This window comes from Homo sapiens, chromosome 10 (genome assembly GCF_000001405.40).
Source record: "Homo sapiens chromosome 10, GRCh38.p14 Primary Assembly".
In the NCBI taxonomy this organism is placed as follows: Eukaryota; Metazoa; Chordata; class Mammalia; order Primates; family Hominidae; genus Homo; species Homo sapiens.
In genome coordinates, this window is record NC_000010.11 from 131,805,465 (window position 1) to 131,821,388 (window position 15,924).

The following is a 15,924-nucleotide window of genomic DNA, read 5'->3' on the forward strand; positions in this document are numbered from 1 at the left end:
TTATTTATATTCTAGGAACCTGCTTCTCATGGAAATGCGGATAATGAACAGACACTGATTAAATTGTCCATATGAATATTCATCGAATCACCTGGACTTTCATGTTAATTTTATTCCTTTTCCCGTGGCTGTCTCTGAATAACAAAGCTTCCTTCCTTCTCCAAAGAGGGGAGCTCAGTGCTGATTAGAAAACAAAGGGGAAACTTGAGTTTGAAATTCTGTCAAAAAAAAATAGGCCTTAGTGAAGAATGTCATTGGCTTCAGGGTCTCATTTGGCCTTTTAATGTGAGATCCACCTTCACATCCACCCTAATTTAGTTTTCTCACACAGCAGAAGTTGCTCTGCATGAGTGGGAACGTACAGATGGGCACAGGGGCTATGATGTATGACCAGGTGTGTGCTGGGCTGAGGGCACCCTGCGGGGGCAAGAGGAGTGGGGTGACAGGAGCACGGACCCAGCACCCCCTCTTTCCCTCGCCCATCCATTCTCTCACTGGGCATTGACTGGAGCTCAGTGTGCAGGAGACACATGCAGTCCACACATCCCCAGCAGTTCCTGAGCAACAGGAGCTGACACATGAGCCAGGCAGTCCTCACACCTGCCCTGCACAACAGGGACCCTGCCCCATCTCCCAGATGGGAACCGCACACCCCACGAGTACCCTGCGATGACCACACCATTGACCCACACAGGAGGCAACACCACCATGACACAAATCCTTTTTGCAAGCTTCTCCCAGGAAACCCATAAACCACAGGACCCTCCCCAGCACCTGTCCCCACCAAGGAACAAGACACCCCCTGGAGCTGCCCCCACTCTGTAAGATGTCTCTGCACCCCCAGCTGCAGTGAGCGCTGACGGGCGAAGCGGCCATTGGGGACTGTAGGCCTGACGCCGGGGTTGTCCCTGAGCCCCAACTCTGGGGCTTCTCTGCCCCGCAGGTGGAGCTGGTTGTTGCTAATCCTGACGTGCCCCCACCCCACCTTTTCTACCTTAAAATAACAGTAAAACTTCAAAGCTGGTGCCGGAGGCAAAATGCTTTGTGAAAACCACCACGTGAGACCAAAGGGAAGTCTGAGCTCACCCTCCTGCCCACAGAGGCACTGCGCAGAGCTGGAAAGAGATGGAAAAGACAGTTTTTGGCTGTTTTCCTTTGAAGGGCAATTTGCCCACAGGCCAAGGAGTGTGTTGCTTGCTGACCTAAGCCTGATGCTTTGGATGAATTGGCCTTACTGTGGATGCCAATATGTCGGGCAGTCAGCGCAGCCTTCGGTGCTCTTCGGCTGTGACACCACCGTCAAAGTTCTGCTAGGCCGTCTCTGACACGTGGGCTGGGCCTTCGGAGACCCGCCAACCTTCCAGAAATAGCACAGATGGGGACATGAGAAGCCGGGGCCTCATGGCCTGCATCTGCCCTTAATGTTTTCAAAATGACTCACAGCCTACAGTGTCGACGACAAGTTGCTTTGACAGCAAAGGGGAAGACATCCAGACAAAGTGCTTCTGAGCGAGAGATGGACATTTACAGCAACTATCCGGCATTGATTTCTGCTCGCCTGAGGTGTCTCGGAAGACATGGGGCGTATGACACACTGCGGCCGCAGAAGTGTGCAGCTTCAGCAACCTGGTCTCCAAAACTGCCTTGGAAATAGACAGCAGGGTGCCATCCTCTCGCCCAGAGTGGCCTGGCAAACCCACGTGGGCGAGAGAAAGCCGGTGCAGCAGGCACAGAGGGCAGGGCCATGCCATCCACCCCATGTGAGCTGACACAGATGAACGGAGCTCTCCAGGCCTCAGTTTCTCCACTGATGAAATGGAGAACACAAATCCTAATGCATAGCATGCAACATCAGTCTGTTGGCTGGGAGGTGGTGGAGGCATCAGACCCAGCTTCCAGACATGGATGAGGGAGGGAGGAGGGAAAAATGAGACCACGGGTCTGTCTCAGGCCAGCTCCAGGCTGGTCCAACTCCAGCTGCAGGGGTGTCTGGAAAAGGGGGTATTTTAATGAGCATTTTGATGCCTCAACACACTGTTGGGAAGAAACAGGAGGCAACTAACCACATGTGCCACACCAGCCTCACCTTTCTGCAGCCAATGGACCTTCCACACCAGACTCACCTGCCTGCAGCCAATGGACCTTCCACACCAGCCTCACCTGCCTGCACCCAATGGACCTTCCACAACAGGCTCACCTGCCTGTAGCCAATGGACCTTCCACACCAGACTCACCTGCCTGCAGCCAACGGACCTTCCACACCAGACTCACCTGCCTGCAGCCAACGGACCTTCCACACCAGACTCACCTGCCTGCAGCCAACGGACCTTCCACACCAGCCTCACCTGCCTGCACCCAATGGACCTTCCACAACAGGCTCACCTGCCTGTAGCCAATGGACCTTCCACACCAGACTCACCTGCCTGCAGCCAACAGACCTTCCACACCAGACTCACCTGCCTGCAGCCAATGGACCTTCCACACCAGACTCACCTGCCTGCAGCCAATGGACCTTCCACACCAGACTTACCTGCCTGCAGCCAATGGACCTTCCACACCAGCCTCACCTGCCTGCACCCAATGGACCTTCCACAACAGGCTCACCTGCCTGTAGCCAATGGACCTTCCACACCAGACTCACCTGCCTGCAGCCAACGGACCTTCCACACCAGACTCACCTGCCTGCAGCCAACGGACCTTCCACACCAGACTCACCTGCCTGCAGCCAATGGGCTTTGCACACCAGACTCACCTGTCTGCAGCCAATGGATCTTCCACACCAGGCTCACCTGTCTGCAGCCAATGGATCTTCCACACCAGGCTCACCTGTCTGCAGCCAATGGATCTTCCACACCAGGCTCACCTGTCTGCAGCCAATGGATCTTCCACACCAGGCTCACCTGTCTGCAGCCAATGGATCTTCCACACCAGGCTCACCTGTCTGCAGCCAATGGATCTTCCACACCAGGCTCACCTGTCTGCAGCCAATGGATCTTCCACACCAGGCTCACCTGTCTGCAGCCAATGGATCTTCCACACCAGGCTCACATGCCTGCACCCAATGGATCTTCCCTGGGCATTGCCCGAGATCTATGCCCAGCCTCAGAGAGCAAAGGGCCAGGGAATCTATTCACATCTCGTCCTGGGGCTGCCTTGCCAAATAACCACAGACTAGGGGATCTGAAACAACAGACTTTTACAATCTCCCAGTTCTGGAGGCCAGAAGTCTGAAATTAAGGCATCGGCAGGGCTTCACTCCAACCAAAAATTCCAGGGGAGCACTTCCCTGCCTCCTCCACATCCCGGCGGCTCCCGGCAGTCACCACCCCCTTAACTTCCCAGCTGTGTCTCTCCAGTCTCCACGCCGTCTTCCTGTGGCCATCCTCCCTCTATCTGTGCCTCTGTGTCTCCAAATTGCCGTCTCTTTAAAAGGAGCGATTCTAAGTCCACATCACTGGACTAGGGCCGCCCTGATCCAGCATGACCTCATCTTAGCTAATTCCATCTGACAGACCCTATGGGGTTTCCACAGAAGGTCCCATTCACAGATCCTGGGGGTTAGGACTTGGACACATCTTTCTGCATGTAGTAATTCAGCCTATGACAGGCAACCTCCATCCTCCATTCATTCCAGTGCCCACGAGATCGGGGGAGCCTTCATCCACCATTCATTCCCAGTGCCCAGGAGACCCGGGGAGCCTCCGTCCACCATTCATTCCCAGTTCCCAGGAGACCGGGGGAGCCTCCGTCCACCATTCATTCCCAGTGCCCAGGAGACCTGGGGAGCCTCCATTTGCCATTCATTCCCAGTGCCCAGGAGACCTGGGGAGCCTGCATCCGCCATTCATTCCCAGTGCCCAGGAGACCCAGGGAACTTGCATCTGCCATTCATTCCCAGTATTCTCAGGGCTCAGGAGATCTGGGGAGCCTCCATCTGCCATTCACCCCCAGTGCCCAGGAGATCCAGGAAGCACCGCCAGTCTCTGAAGACCAAGCCAGGTTGAAAAGGTTGCTCCCATGACAAAATGTGTTTTTCTTCCCAATTTCAAACAATCCATCAGCACAACCAGCTCGTGTCAACCTTCACTTCACTTCCCGCTGCGTTTTCTTCATCCCCCTCCCCAACATGTATTTATGGCCGCGCCCTCACCAACAGCCCACTGGAAGATGTGCTCTCCGAGGGGAGCTACCCTCTGCCTTGTGCCTTGCTGGTTCCCAGCAAGAGTACCTGGCACAGAATATGCTTGGAAGCACTGGTTAAAGCACCTGCTCATTCAACAAATGCCGTCTTCCCCGTAGCCACACACATTTTATAATTAAGCAACATCTTGCTGGGCCCGGGCAACAGACCTTCCAGGCACTCACTAAAAGACAGACGTCTCCACCATCAAAGAGCACACAGTCTGGTTCGGGACAGGGTTTCATATTTTCCTTTGACTTTCACCTAGAAAGCACTAACTAGCTAGATTTTCTCTGTTTTCCAAGGAATTTGCACATCAAACGAATTTTCAATAGGCGCCCTCAGATGAGGAGGAGATGGCGTTATTTCCTGACAGGTGTAGTGTGTCTGCCCTGCATAGGAGGGAGGCACAGCTTTTCAGGGGCGGCACCTGCAGAGACTGCGAATCTTCACTCAGCACTCAGGCCTGCTAGCACCAGGGCCTGGCTTCCTGTCCCCTTCGGAGAAAGACAAGACAGGCAGGAGGAAAAGCAGGATGATGGAGGAGTGGCGGTCCCCAAAACCACAGCGGGCTCGGACCGCTATGGGTTTCAGGGAAGGGGTCGGTGGAGGGTAATGGCAAAGGCCCTGGGAGGCAGGCAGCACAGCAGTGGCGCAGCTGTACATGCCTGCACAGGTGTGTGTCATCCTGGGTCACAGGACCACAGGGAGCTGCGTTCACTGAGAATAAACCACTTGGTCAGTGTCACCACTGGGCCCCACCTGTGTCCTCAGAATGTCCTGAGTAGAGAGGCCTTTGAATTTCACCCAATGTTGAGCAAAATTCAGCCTGAGCAGGGCCTCCCCATGCAGCTCTGAGACCCTGTTGCTGCTGCTGCGGGGGCCTGTTTCAGTGGAATCCCCCAATGCACCCTTGCAGCAGGGACTGGGGTGTAGGCAGCTTCTAGGGAGGTGATGCAGGAAGTAGGAGTGAGGGGCAGGTGAGTTTTCGGGGACAGAGGGAGCATAGCGTGAGGTTGTGCTGTGCAATGGCTGTTGTGCACCAAGGGGCCAATTCCTCAGGGCTCTCAGAAGCATGCAGAACTCTCCCAGATGTCCCCTGCTGATGGCAGCCAAGCACTGGCTCCCCCGTCTCCCCTGGCCACGTGGTGCGCTCAGCCAACCCGGACCTACTGGACTGAAGCAACTGGAAGAGCTGGCCAGTCACACGACTGCAGGAGGACTCTGACCCCACGGGCCCTCAGCCTGCCTTCTGGCGGACTTGCTACTGGACCCCATGATAGCATCAACCTCAGAGGCGAGCCGTTGGCTCCAAAGACCCAGAGGAACCCCCTGCCCCAGGGCCTTCCTCCCACCCTGTCCATCGGATCCTCAGCAAAGCCTCCTGGGTACAGCTACACATGGCAAGGTTCGGGGACCATCCAGATGGGTCCAGCAGGGTGCAGAGGCCATTCCAGCTCCTGGTGTCTGAGGCAGAGGGCACTCTGAGACCAGCAGGGACTCGGGGGTCCTTCCAGGGTGGAGGGCATGTAGACAGGCTATGGGAAGGCTGCACACCAGCGGAGGGCGTGGCTGGGAGACCCCAGCTCCCAGCCCAGTCAGAGCACCAGTGGGATTCCAGGAATGTGAGAAAACTCAAGCAGAAAGGATTTTCGGCAAGGATGTGCAGTCCAGACCGCCTCTGGGATCCCCAAGGTTCAGTTCCCCCCAGCCCTGTAGATCGCTGTCCGCTTGCCAAGTTTATCACACACCCTGCGTGCACCTGCAGAGTAACCAGGCAGCAGAGATCTGCAGGACGGGCTCAGAGCACGGCTGTGCTCCAGGGACCGTGGCCAGCAGCTCTTGGGCAGGCGCGCCCTGTCCGGTGGGTGCCCAGGGCCTCCTGACACCTCAGTGCCGACATCCCTCCCAGTTCTGAGGATGGGGTGGCCTTGCGTTCTCCCTCGTGGTACTGCTTGTCTTCTGTTTAGAAAAGTGAGCTAGAAGTTGCAAAATGCCAAACGGTGGGTTTTATATTAAAATAAGATGGATCTGGGTTCTGTCACTAGGGCGTTGGGAAATTGTTGACAGCATTTTAATTGCAAAGTGTCTAAAACTAGTGACAGAATCATTGGCTGCTAGGACCGATGCTCCAGGAGGCTGGCTCTTGGCATCTCAGGATCTTGGAATGATGCTGGGCCACAGAGGAGTGATCTGGGGGCCAGGGTGAGCTGGCAGGTTGGGGAGGTGAGGTCTGAGGGGTCACCCCCCAGCCCATGCCCTGCACCAATGGCCCTCTATGGGGTCTCACAGGGATCCAGGGGAACATGGGCTCTAACTCAAGACTGGACATGAATTTCCCAGAAGATATTAATGACCAAGCGTATCAGGACAGACACACCCAGCAGATTCAACACCGCCACCTGCAGAGGTGACCATCAGCCAAACATCAGGAGCGTCCTGGTGATGACTGGGACTTTGCCCTTGTGGGCAGAGGGGGAGGTCAGAGGGCACAGCCGAGGTGGTGTGGGAGGGTGGCCTTGCCGTTAACATAGACCCTGAAGCAGCATCAACAACAATGTGAGAACCCTAGCGTCCACGTGAGAACCCTACCGTTCCACGTGGGAACCCTACCGTCCACGTGGGAACCCTACTGTCCACGTGGGAACCCTACCATCCACGTGAGAACCCTACCGTCCATGTGGGAACCCTACCGTCCACGTGGGAACCCTACTGTCCACGTGGGAACCCTACCGTCCACGTGAGAACCCTACCGTCCATGTGGGAACCCTACCGTCCACGTGGGAACCCTACTGTCCACGTGAGAACCCTACCATCGTGCAATAATTGTCCCGCCTCTACATTTGTTTGTTTGGTTTTATTTTGAAATATATTTTCTACATAGTGGAGGTTATCAGAATCTTAATTATGAATAATTATTTCCAACTTAATCAAGACCCATATAATAATCATTCCCAGCTTCATTAAGACTCATATAAGTAATACATTTAATTTATTAAAGGTTTGGATGAAACAATTGCCTGCAGGTAAATCTCCAGATAATTTGAAAAAGCAACATCATTGCCCTCGATCTTCCTGAGACTGTGCCCGGCAAAGACACCAGCAGGACTTCCCAGGCTGCTTAGCAGGAGCCACCTTCAGGTCCGCAGGCCCCACCTCCCAGGCAGCCCTGGGCGCCTCTGGCAGCAGAGCCTGCTCTGCCCATGCATATGGCAGCCAGAAAGTGCCAGGCGCGGCAGTCCACCCGTGGCGATGGGAGTGGTGGGTGACGTCCCCAGCCCCCACCTCCTCGGGATGGGGAAGACTTTGAGGGGCGTGTTCTGCCCAGTTTCAGAATCCCCCAGGAGGATGGAGCCCCAGTTGCCAGCACTGGGAACCCGCTAGGTTCCGAGCCTTGGTTGGCTGCATTCTCCCCAGCCCACGTCCCCCCTCCACACCCCCACTGCTGTTTCCTGGAACTGGCTCCCGAAAAACAAGCTTGCATCCAGTCCCTGTCGCAGAATCTGCTCCTGTTTATTCCAATGACGTACAGGCATGTTCTGCTGCCCTGTACGCTCTGGCTTGTATTTGGAAATGCAAGAGTCATCTCATGTAACAGCAAGATTGTAACTTTTAAAATAAAGCAGCCTCAAAACAGAAAATTATGAAGAAAGCATGGATTCCTCAAAGTTAACCCCTGTGTCCTTCTTCAGAGGAATCCCACCTCCGCCCCAGGCCCGGTGAGATGGCAAAGCCACCTCGGAGAACGTGACGTGGATGGCAGCTGCTCAGGACACAAGATCAGAGACAGGCAGGTGTTGTCCTGCTCCTAGGATTGGCCCACACAGAGGGTCTTTGCCGACACATTTTCAGTTTTCAAGATAAATCGGTGGAAGAAATCTGAAGTTCTCACTGTTTGCTCCCCAGATGTCATGGCAACCTTCACCTCCACTTCACGCACACCCACTATTCCCTTCAAACAAATGGTGTAAAATGAGCTTTGTTGTTTCTTTATGGACAGATTAGATCATGTAGCTGATCATGTTGCCCTTTTCATGTGGGTCCCTAGAAAGCACATTTTCTCAAACTCAAAAGGCCCTCTGCATCCTGCATATCTGCACTCTTACTTTCTCCAGGATAAAACTGGTTTCTCTGTGCCATTTTATTTTTATTTGTCACTATGCTTTTCCACTTCTATGCATTATACTAAGACACTTCAGATATCTTGGAAATGAGTAGAGTATGGCTGCCTACAAACCTACACACAAACACTGAGCAGACACTCACAGGCACATAAATGCCACATCCAGACCTGAGGTCACAGGATCTGAGCTCTGGATGTGATTACAAAGATGTAAAGAAGGAACTGGTAAAACCAGTGAACAGTCAGCCAGTATTCCAAATATATAAGGAAGGCACAAACCAGTAAGAAAAAGACAAATTACACAATGTGAAAATGGCAAAGACTTGAAGAATCCTTTCACCAAGGAGGGAGCAAGAATGGCCAACAGGCCTGTAAAAAGCTGCCTGGCCTCAGCCAGGCACGGTGGCTCATGCCTGTAATCCCAGCACTTTGGGAGGCCAAGGCAGGCGGATCATGAGGTCAGGAGATCGAGACCATCCTGGCTAACACGGTGAAACCCCGTCTCTACTAAAAATACAAAAAATTAGCCGGGTGTGCTGGTGGGCGCCTGTAGTCCCAGCTACTAGGGAGGCTGAGGCAGGAGAATGGCGTGAACCCGGGAGGCAGAGCTTGCTGTGAGCCGAGATTGCACCACTGCACTCCAGCCTGGGCGACAGAGCCAGACTCGGTCTCAAAAAAAAAAAAAAAAAAAAAAAAAAAGCTGCCTGGCCTTTTATGTAATCAGGAGACAGAACATTAAAAACAAAATGAGAGATCGTTCCACAGCATCAGGCTGGCAAAGTTTAAAGGTCAGCAAATCCTAGGCACAGGCGAGGGCTCAAGGTCACCGCCAGTGCCCTATTTGCAAGGCGCACGCACCTCCCCCTCCGCGGAGCACGCACAAGTGCTGGGCCCTGCGTTTCTCTGCTAAGTCACGTCAGCAGGAGCTGGGTCAGCAACTTCTTCCATACAGGGCCGGGTCATCGTTTATGCTTTTGGGTCCATGTGGTCTCTGCCATGCCTAGTGGTTGACAATGTGAAGTGGGTAGGTGCGACCTCTCTCCAATTAAACTTGTTGCCCAGAGGCAGGTGGAGTGTTGTCATTTGCCGGCCCATGGTACAGAGACACTTGTGCACGTGGACATCAGGCAAATGGCCACAGTAGCAACAGGCTGGAAGCAGCCCCCTCACCACTACCCAAGTGAAATGGCACAGTCCTGCATGGGGCCAGGGGAACCTGGCAACCCCTCACCTGCAGCCCAGACCACTTCTGGGATCCCCAAGTTCCAGTTCCCCCCAGCCCTGTAGATCGCTGTCCACTTGCCAAGTTTATCACACGCCCTGCGTGCACCTGCAGAGTAACCAGGCAGCAGAGATCTGCAGGATGGGCTCAGAGCTCAGCTATGCTCCGGGGACCGTGGCCAGCAGCTCTTGGGCAGGCGCGCCCTGTCCGGTGGGTGCCCGGGGCCTCCTGACACCTCAGTGCTGACATCGTTTATGCTTTTGGGTCCTTGTGGTCTCTGCCACACCTAGTGGTTGACAATGTGAAGTGGGTGGGTGTGACCTCTCTCCAATTAAACTTGTTGCCCAGGGGCAGATGAGGCTCATTTGGGATGAATCTCAGAATCCAGCATCAGCAAATACAGAAACTCGGGGACAGACACACACACACACACACACACACACACACACAGCCAGCAGCAAACAGAGCAGAACCATTCCTTCTTTAGAGAAACACAGAGATGCAGCAGACTGTGCAGAGAAACAAGGAAGAATCATCAGGAAACTGGAGGTAGCGTTTCCCCGGGGGTGAGAGGAGAGGGAGGGAGCTGCCGTGGGGCGGGGTCCCAGGGGTCTCACCTCCCAGGGTGTTCTCTTCCTCAGGATGAGCGGTGCCTACACGGGGCCTCATTTTACTATTTTTCTTGAAGTGAACCTGCACATTTTCACACTCTCTCCCTATTTGATGTATTTTATAATTTATTTTTAATTTTAGAAGGAACAGGGATGAAGAGCCCCAGGCATTCACAGGAGGTGCCCCCTAATTCCGAGATGGAATGGGGGTGGCCAAGATGAGTGAGCACCTAGGAGAGAAGTGAGCAGAGCCCAGGAGCACCAGGAGGGGTCCAGGCAGCAGCAGGATGTCACAGGCTGATGTCACAGGCGTGAGGGTTGCCCACGAGAAGGGGCCAGGATGTCAGAGAGCCCATGGGGCAGGGGCAGATGGAGCAGCAGCACCTGTGGAGAGGCAGAGGATACACCAACAGGAAGGAGCAGCTGCTGGCCCATCCCCTAAGAGCAGGGCCTTGGAGCCAGGGAGCCAACCCTCCTCCCTGTGTCCCCGCCATGCAGCCGCACCCATTCCTGAACTTTCACTTCTCGTCAAAACACAGGGGTGGAAATAGTTCCTAAGGTTGGTGTGATCACTGGGATGAAGCACTAAGCCTGTGACATATTCCAAGTGCCCTGCAGACGCCTGGACCCGACAGGTGTCCAACAGCCAAGTGCGCCCACCACTGCCTCTCTCAAAGGTCATTCCTGGCTGCAGGTCGGGTTCTCTGGGAAGCGGAAGCTGTGGTGGAGTCAGGTGCCGGGACGTTTGTGGGGAAGCTCCCGGGAAGGGAGGGAAGAATACAGTGAGCAGAGGGAGGAGAGGAGCTGCACCGCAAACCCCAACAGCAGCTGGTCACCCCCGGAGCTCTGGGGCTGACAGGGCCATGGCCACCAGAGCCGTCCCACTTTGGGCCAAAGTGGGCAGACCTGCACTCCATGCTTGGGGAGCGGGGGGACTCCCATCTACCCACTACATGCCCCATGACCGGGAATAGGTCTTTCCTTGAGGAGTCCAGGCCGGGGGCATCACCAGGTCCCTCACTGCTGTCCTGTTAGGATCACCCAGCCCCACTGGAGCAGGGAAAAGCTCAGACATAAATTGGAAGAAATGATCCACTGGGCATTTTCCATCCCTGGTGATTAAAGGAAAAGATAAAGCGGCTCCACATTGAGGCGGAGGCTTCGGGAGTGAGAGGAAACTTCACTGGATGAGAAACATTCCAAAGACACAAAACAAAGTGAAGGGACACACTGAAGACATTTCTCTGAGCTACAGGCTGGCAAAGACGGATGATGATGATCAGAAAGATGGATTGAGGGTGCGATTAGGAACACACAAAAGTTTAAGATAGACGACACGCACGGCTCACATTAGTCTCAGCTGAAGCAATGCCTGGTCATAGTCAAGGGGCATCACTCCAAGTTCACAAACAAGGGGTCGGGAGTGGCCTCTTGACCATGTCCATTAGTCCAGAAACTGCAGCCCCTGAAGGCTGCTCGCGGTTCAAGACAGAGCTATGCTTGACTGCTTCCGGTTGGCACACTCTTGCGCTCTCTCTCTCTCTCTCTGTTTTTAATGAAGGACATCTTCACAGAGAGTGGGTCCTTCACACAAGTGTCGCATAAATCATCCTCTTACCTGGTGCTCCTCGCTACCAGGTGTGGGATCTCCCATAGTCCTGGGTGTGCAAGGCAGATACAAACATGCCAGGTCAGAGATGCAGGGAGTGGGGTGGGCATTATGCAGGAAAAGACCAGCTAAGCTGCAAAAACCAACAATTCCCAAATCCCAGTGGATGTCAGCCCTTAAAGTGAAGCTCTCACTTTTGCAAATCTTGATCAGATGATGTCCACGTGGTGACTCAGAGCTGAAGGGGTTAGAGAGTGAGTGTGGGGCTGTGGGGGAGTGTGTCTGGCCACAGGGGAGGACGGTGTGTCTATGTGCTCATCTGTGTGAGTGTGTGTTTATGCACAAGTGTGCCCGAGTGTGTGGGTATGCGTGCATTTGGGACAAGGAAATGAGCAGATGGGAGGAAAGGGGAAGACCAGAAGTCACCCGAAGCTGAGTTTTCCTGGCAGATGCATGAGTTATAAAACTGATTCTGCTTCTACAAAACATCCCTGCTGATAAAGTCGGAATCTGTCAAAAAGGTGTTTTCTGTTAGGAACAGAGCAGCTTTGCCCGTATGTAATTCGGTGGCAAAAGACCCAAATCCTACATGTTCAACAGACGCACAACTGATCCATGCATTGATTTCTGTTGTCCACACTAATGCACATTTTGCAGACGGGCTGGTGGAGACTGCTCACTTCCCACTCTGCACCCACTGCGCTGAAGTTTATGAAACCGAACCGAGCACCTGGCCAGGCCCTTCCCACCCCTCCCCGAGGGGCTCAGGCCAGGCAAGCAGGAAGGAAGGAAGCAAGGGGAGCAGGAAGAAGGAAGGTGAGTAAGATAGAGGGGCAGATAGAGGACAGCAGAACAGGCAGGGCCCCTGGCTGAGATGCTGGCTGGGCCCTCGGCCAGGTGCTCTGACCGTAGAGGACAATGGACTCCTCCCTGCCTCGGGTGCCTCTGGCCAGCTCTGCTCCCCCGCAGTCTGGAGGGTCAGCGAAGTGGCTTTCTTGCTGCGTGTCCCTCTGGTGTGTGGTGGGTTGGGGAAGGTGTGCATCCCTCCCTTTGCTTGTTTACTCACCTCTTATCTGCTGGAGTGTGCAGAGAGGATGCAGTCTCCCCAACAGAGTGTGTGTCGAGTGGGAGAAACCACCCTCAAAGTCCATGAATTAAGTAATTACTTGGTTGGACAGAAACTAGCAAGGAGCTGAAGTAGAGAACGACCAGGAGGATGACTTCAGATGTGGTGCACCCAGGAAAGGTCTCCCATGAACATTCAGGCAGGAACTCTAAGGACACACAGGCACAGGCCAGGTGAAGTGTGGCAGGAACAGCATGCCAGGCAGAGGGAACAGCATATGCAAACCCACAGAGGGAAAGAGGTTGGTGCAGAGCCCCACACTGTGGGAGTGCAACAAGCCGGGGGAGAGTGGCCTAGGTGCCAGGAGACCCCGCCGCCCTCCGGTGTGAGCCCGGCTGTCCCCCGTCAGGTGCTGATCCCATGGCCTCCCTACTGTACTTTCCGAGAACTCCGGCGTGAAGAAAGCGGCAGTGAAGACAGTCCCTTTCCATTTCCCTTTGGAGAACACAGTGTGTAGGGATTGAACACAATTAGGATCTTGGGCTAATTCACATGCAGATGCCACATGTGAGGAGGCTGGGGGTGGGCAAAAAGGTGAGTTCCTGAGAGCTCTGGGGTCTCTGTGTGAAATTTCATGCACGCATCACAGCCACTGGAACACCGCAGGGGTCAGCCGCTCACGTGCCCCAGCCCCCAGACTGCGGATGCACCTGGCACTCCACCCTCCATGGACGACCGAGAGCCTTCGAAGGAACAACATCCTGGCACCAAGCCAAGAGGAGGCAGGATAGTGCCCCCAGGTTATATTCTGAATGAAACACCTCCGGCAGCACCGGCTCAAGTGACATCACCCAAATCTCCATCTGGGCTTTCTGGAGTCAGACCCAGGGGCGGAGCAGTGACCACACGCTCCAGGAGTCCCAGGCTGGTGGCTCTTCCTTTTCAACCAGCTTTCCACTAAAGAGGGTCCAGTCCTCTAAAAACAAAAACCACCGGACACCGGAGCAGTTAGCCACAGAGACTTGCGGCCCCCTCTGCAACTGAACATGCGCCGGGTTTCTACACTGCCCTCTGCACGGCATCTCCATATGGCGAGACTCTCTCTTTCAGGCCGTGTGGTGTCACAGCAGGGGCTCGTGGGTTAAAGCTGCTGTGACCGCACATTCCCCAGGGAGGGTGCAAGGCCAAGGGGCAGAACGATCACGACTGACCCCAGGCTCTGCAGGCGCAGCCCACCAGGCAGCCCCACCTCCGCACGTGGGCCTACTCAGGTTTCCCCAGAATCGGCCTGAGTGAAAGGACCATGCTGGGTTTGCTGCGGGGGTGGCTACGGTCATAAAGGCGGGGGCAGGTCTGCGTGGTGGAACTGCTGCGTACCCGACTGCAGCGGTGGTTACACGAGTGTGCACTTGTGATAAAACTGTGTAGATGAACATAAAACTGGTGAAATCACATGAGCACACTGGACTTCATCAAGCCAACTTCCAGGCTGCAACCCTGCCCTGTACTGGAGTTAGTTAGGCAAGATGCTCCATGGGGGAACTGGGTGAAGGGCTGCAAACCTGTACTGGAGTTAGGCAAGATACTCCATGGGGGAAGTAGGTGAAGGGTTGTGACACTGTACTGGAGTTAGTTAGGCAAGATGCCCCATGGGGGAACTGGGTGAAGGGCTATGACCCTGTACTGGAGTGAGTTAGGCACGATGCTCCATGGGGGAACTGGGTGAAAGGCTCACAGGGTCTCTCTCTATCATTTCTTACAATTGCATGTAAACCTACAATTATATCCAAATAAAAAGTTTTTTAAAAGGGTCCTGTGCAGTGGCTCATACCTGTAATGCCAGCTACTCCGGAGGCTGAGGAGGGAGGATCACTTGAGCCCAGGAGGTCCAGGCTGCAGTGAGCCATAATCGTGTCACCACACTCCAGCCTGGGTGATAGAGGGAGACCGTCTCAAAGAAAAAAAAAAAGGTGAAGAATTTTTTAAATTATTGGGGCACAGGTGATGTTTGGTTACATGGGTAAGTTCTTTAGGGGTGATTTGTGAGATTTTTGTGCACCCATCACCCAAGCAGTATACACTGCACCCAGTTTGTAGTCTTTTACCACTCACCCCCTTCCCACACTTTCCCCAAGTCCACAAAGTCCATTGTGTCGTCCTTATAGCTTAGCATCCACTTATGAGTGAGAACATGTGATGTGTGGTGTTCCATTCCTGAGTTGCTTCACTTGGAATAATAGTCTCCAATCTATCCAGGTCACTGGGAATGCCATTAATTTAAAAAAAAATCTCTAGGTTGCAAAGATTTCAATAAATGTGTTCCTAATTAGAAATGTTTCTAAAGAAGCCGGGCTGGACGGCATCACGACAAAAGCATGCACCCCCATTCCCTCCACCTGCCTCATTTTCCACCCACAGGAAAAGGATTTACATGGCCTGTCCCAAAAGTGATGATTCGTGATGGATCTGAAGACCCAGCCTGTGGTCCGCAGGATAACACCGCCCTGAAAAATGTGTCCGTGTCTCAACCCTGAAACGCAGGAATATGTTATTTTATGTGGCAAAGGGGGCTTTGCAGAGGCGATTAAATTGAGGGTTTTGAGACAGGAAGAGTCCCCTGGGCTTGCTGGTTGGGTCCTTGGCATTGTAAGGGGCCTTATGCCAGAGAGGTAGGAGGGTCAGGGCAGGAAAGAGGCTGGCCTTGAAGATGCAGGGAGCGGCCATGAGCCAAGACACAGGGTGGCCTGTGGAAGCCAGAGAAAGTGCGGAAACTAATCCTCCCTGGAGCCTCTAGAAGGAACCAGCCCTGCCGATACCTTGATTTTAGCCCAGTAAGACCCATTTCAGACTTCTGACTTCCAGAACTATAAAAGAATAAATTTGCGTTGTTTTAAGTTTGTGATCATTTGTTACAGCAGTAAAAGGCAGCTGGTACCTTCACTTTACTCCATTATTTAAAAGTCTCCTTTCTGACGCTTTTTAAGTGGTTCATGTTAGCAGTCAGAACCCTGGGAATTATCTGAGGCCATTTTGCTTAGAGTTCACTAGATTTTTTTTCCCTAGCCACAATTATGTCACTGTTTAGCCTAAAAAAAAATTTCTACCATGCTGAT

The 15,924-nt window shown here is 53.8% G+C and overlaps 2 annotated features.

Annotated features, from left to right (window-relative positions):
* Positions 317–914: an enhancer, noted in NCBI's record as "H3K4me1 hESC enhancer chr10:133638117-133638714 (GRCh37/hg19 assembly coordinates)". NCBI's record gives its function as "activates a minimal SCP1, AML or CMV promoter by ChIP-STARR-seq in naive H9 embryonic stem cells {active_cell/tissue: H9 hESC(naive)}" and the evidence as "EXISTENCE:reporter gene assay evidence [ECO:0000049][PMID:30033119]".
* Positions 915–1,511: an enhancer, noted in NCBI's record as "H3K4me1 hESC enhancer chr10:133638715-133639311 (GRCh37/hg19 assembly coordinates)". NCBI's record gives its function as "activates a minimal SCP1, AML or CMV promoter by ChIP-STARR-seq in naive H9 embryonic stem cells {active_cell/tissue: H9 hESC(naive)}" and the evidence as "EXISTENCE:reporter gene assay evidence [ECO:0000049][PMID:30033119]".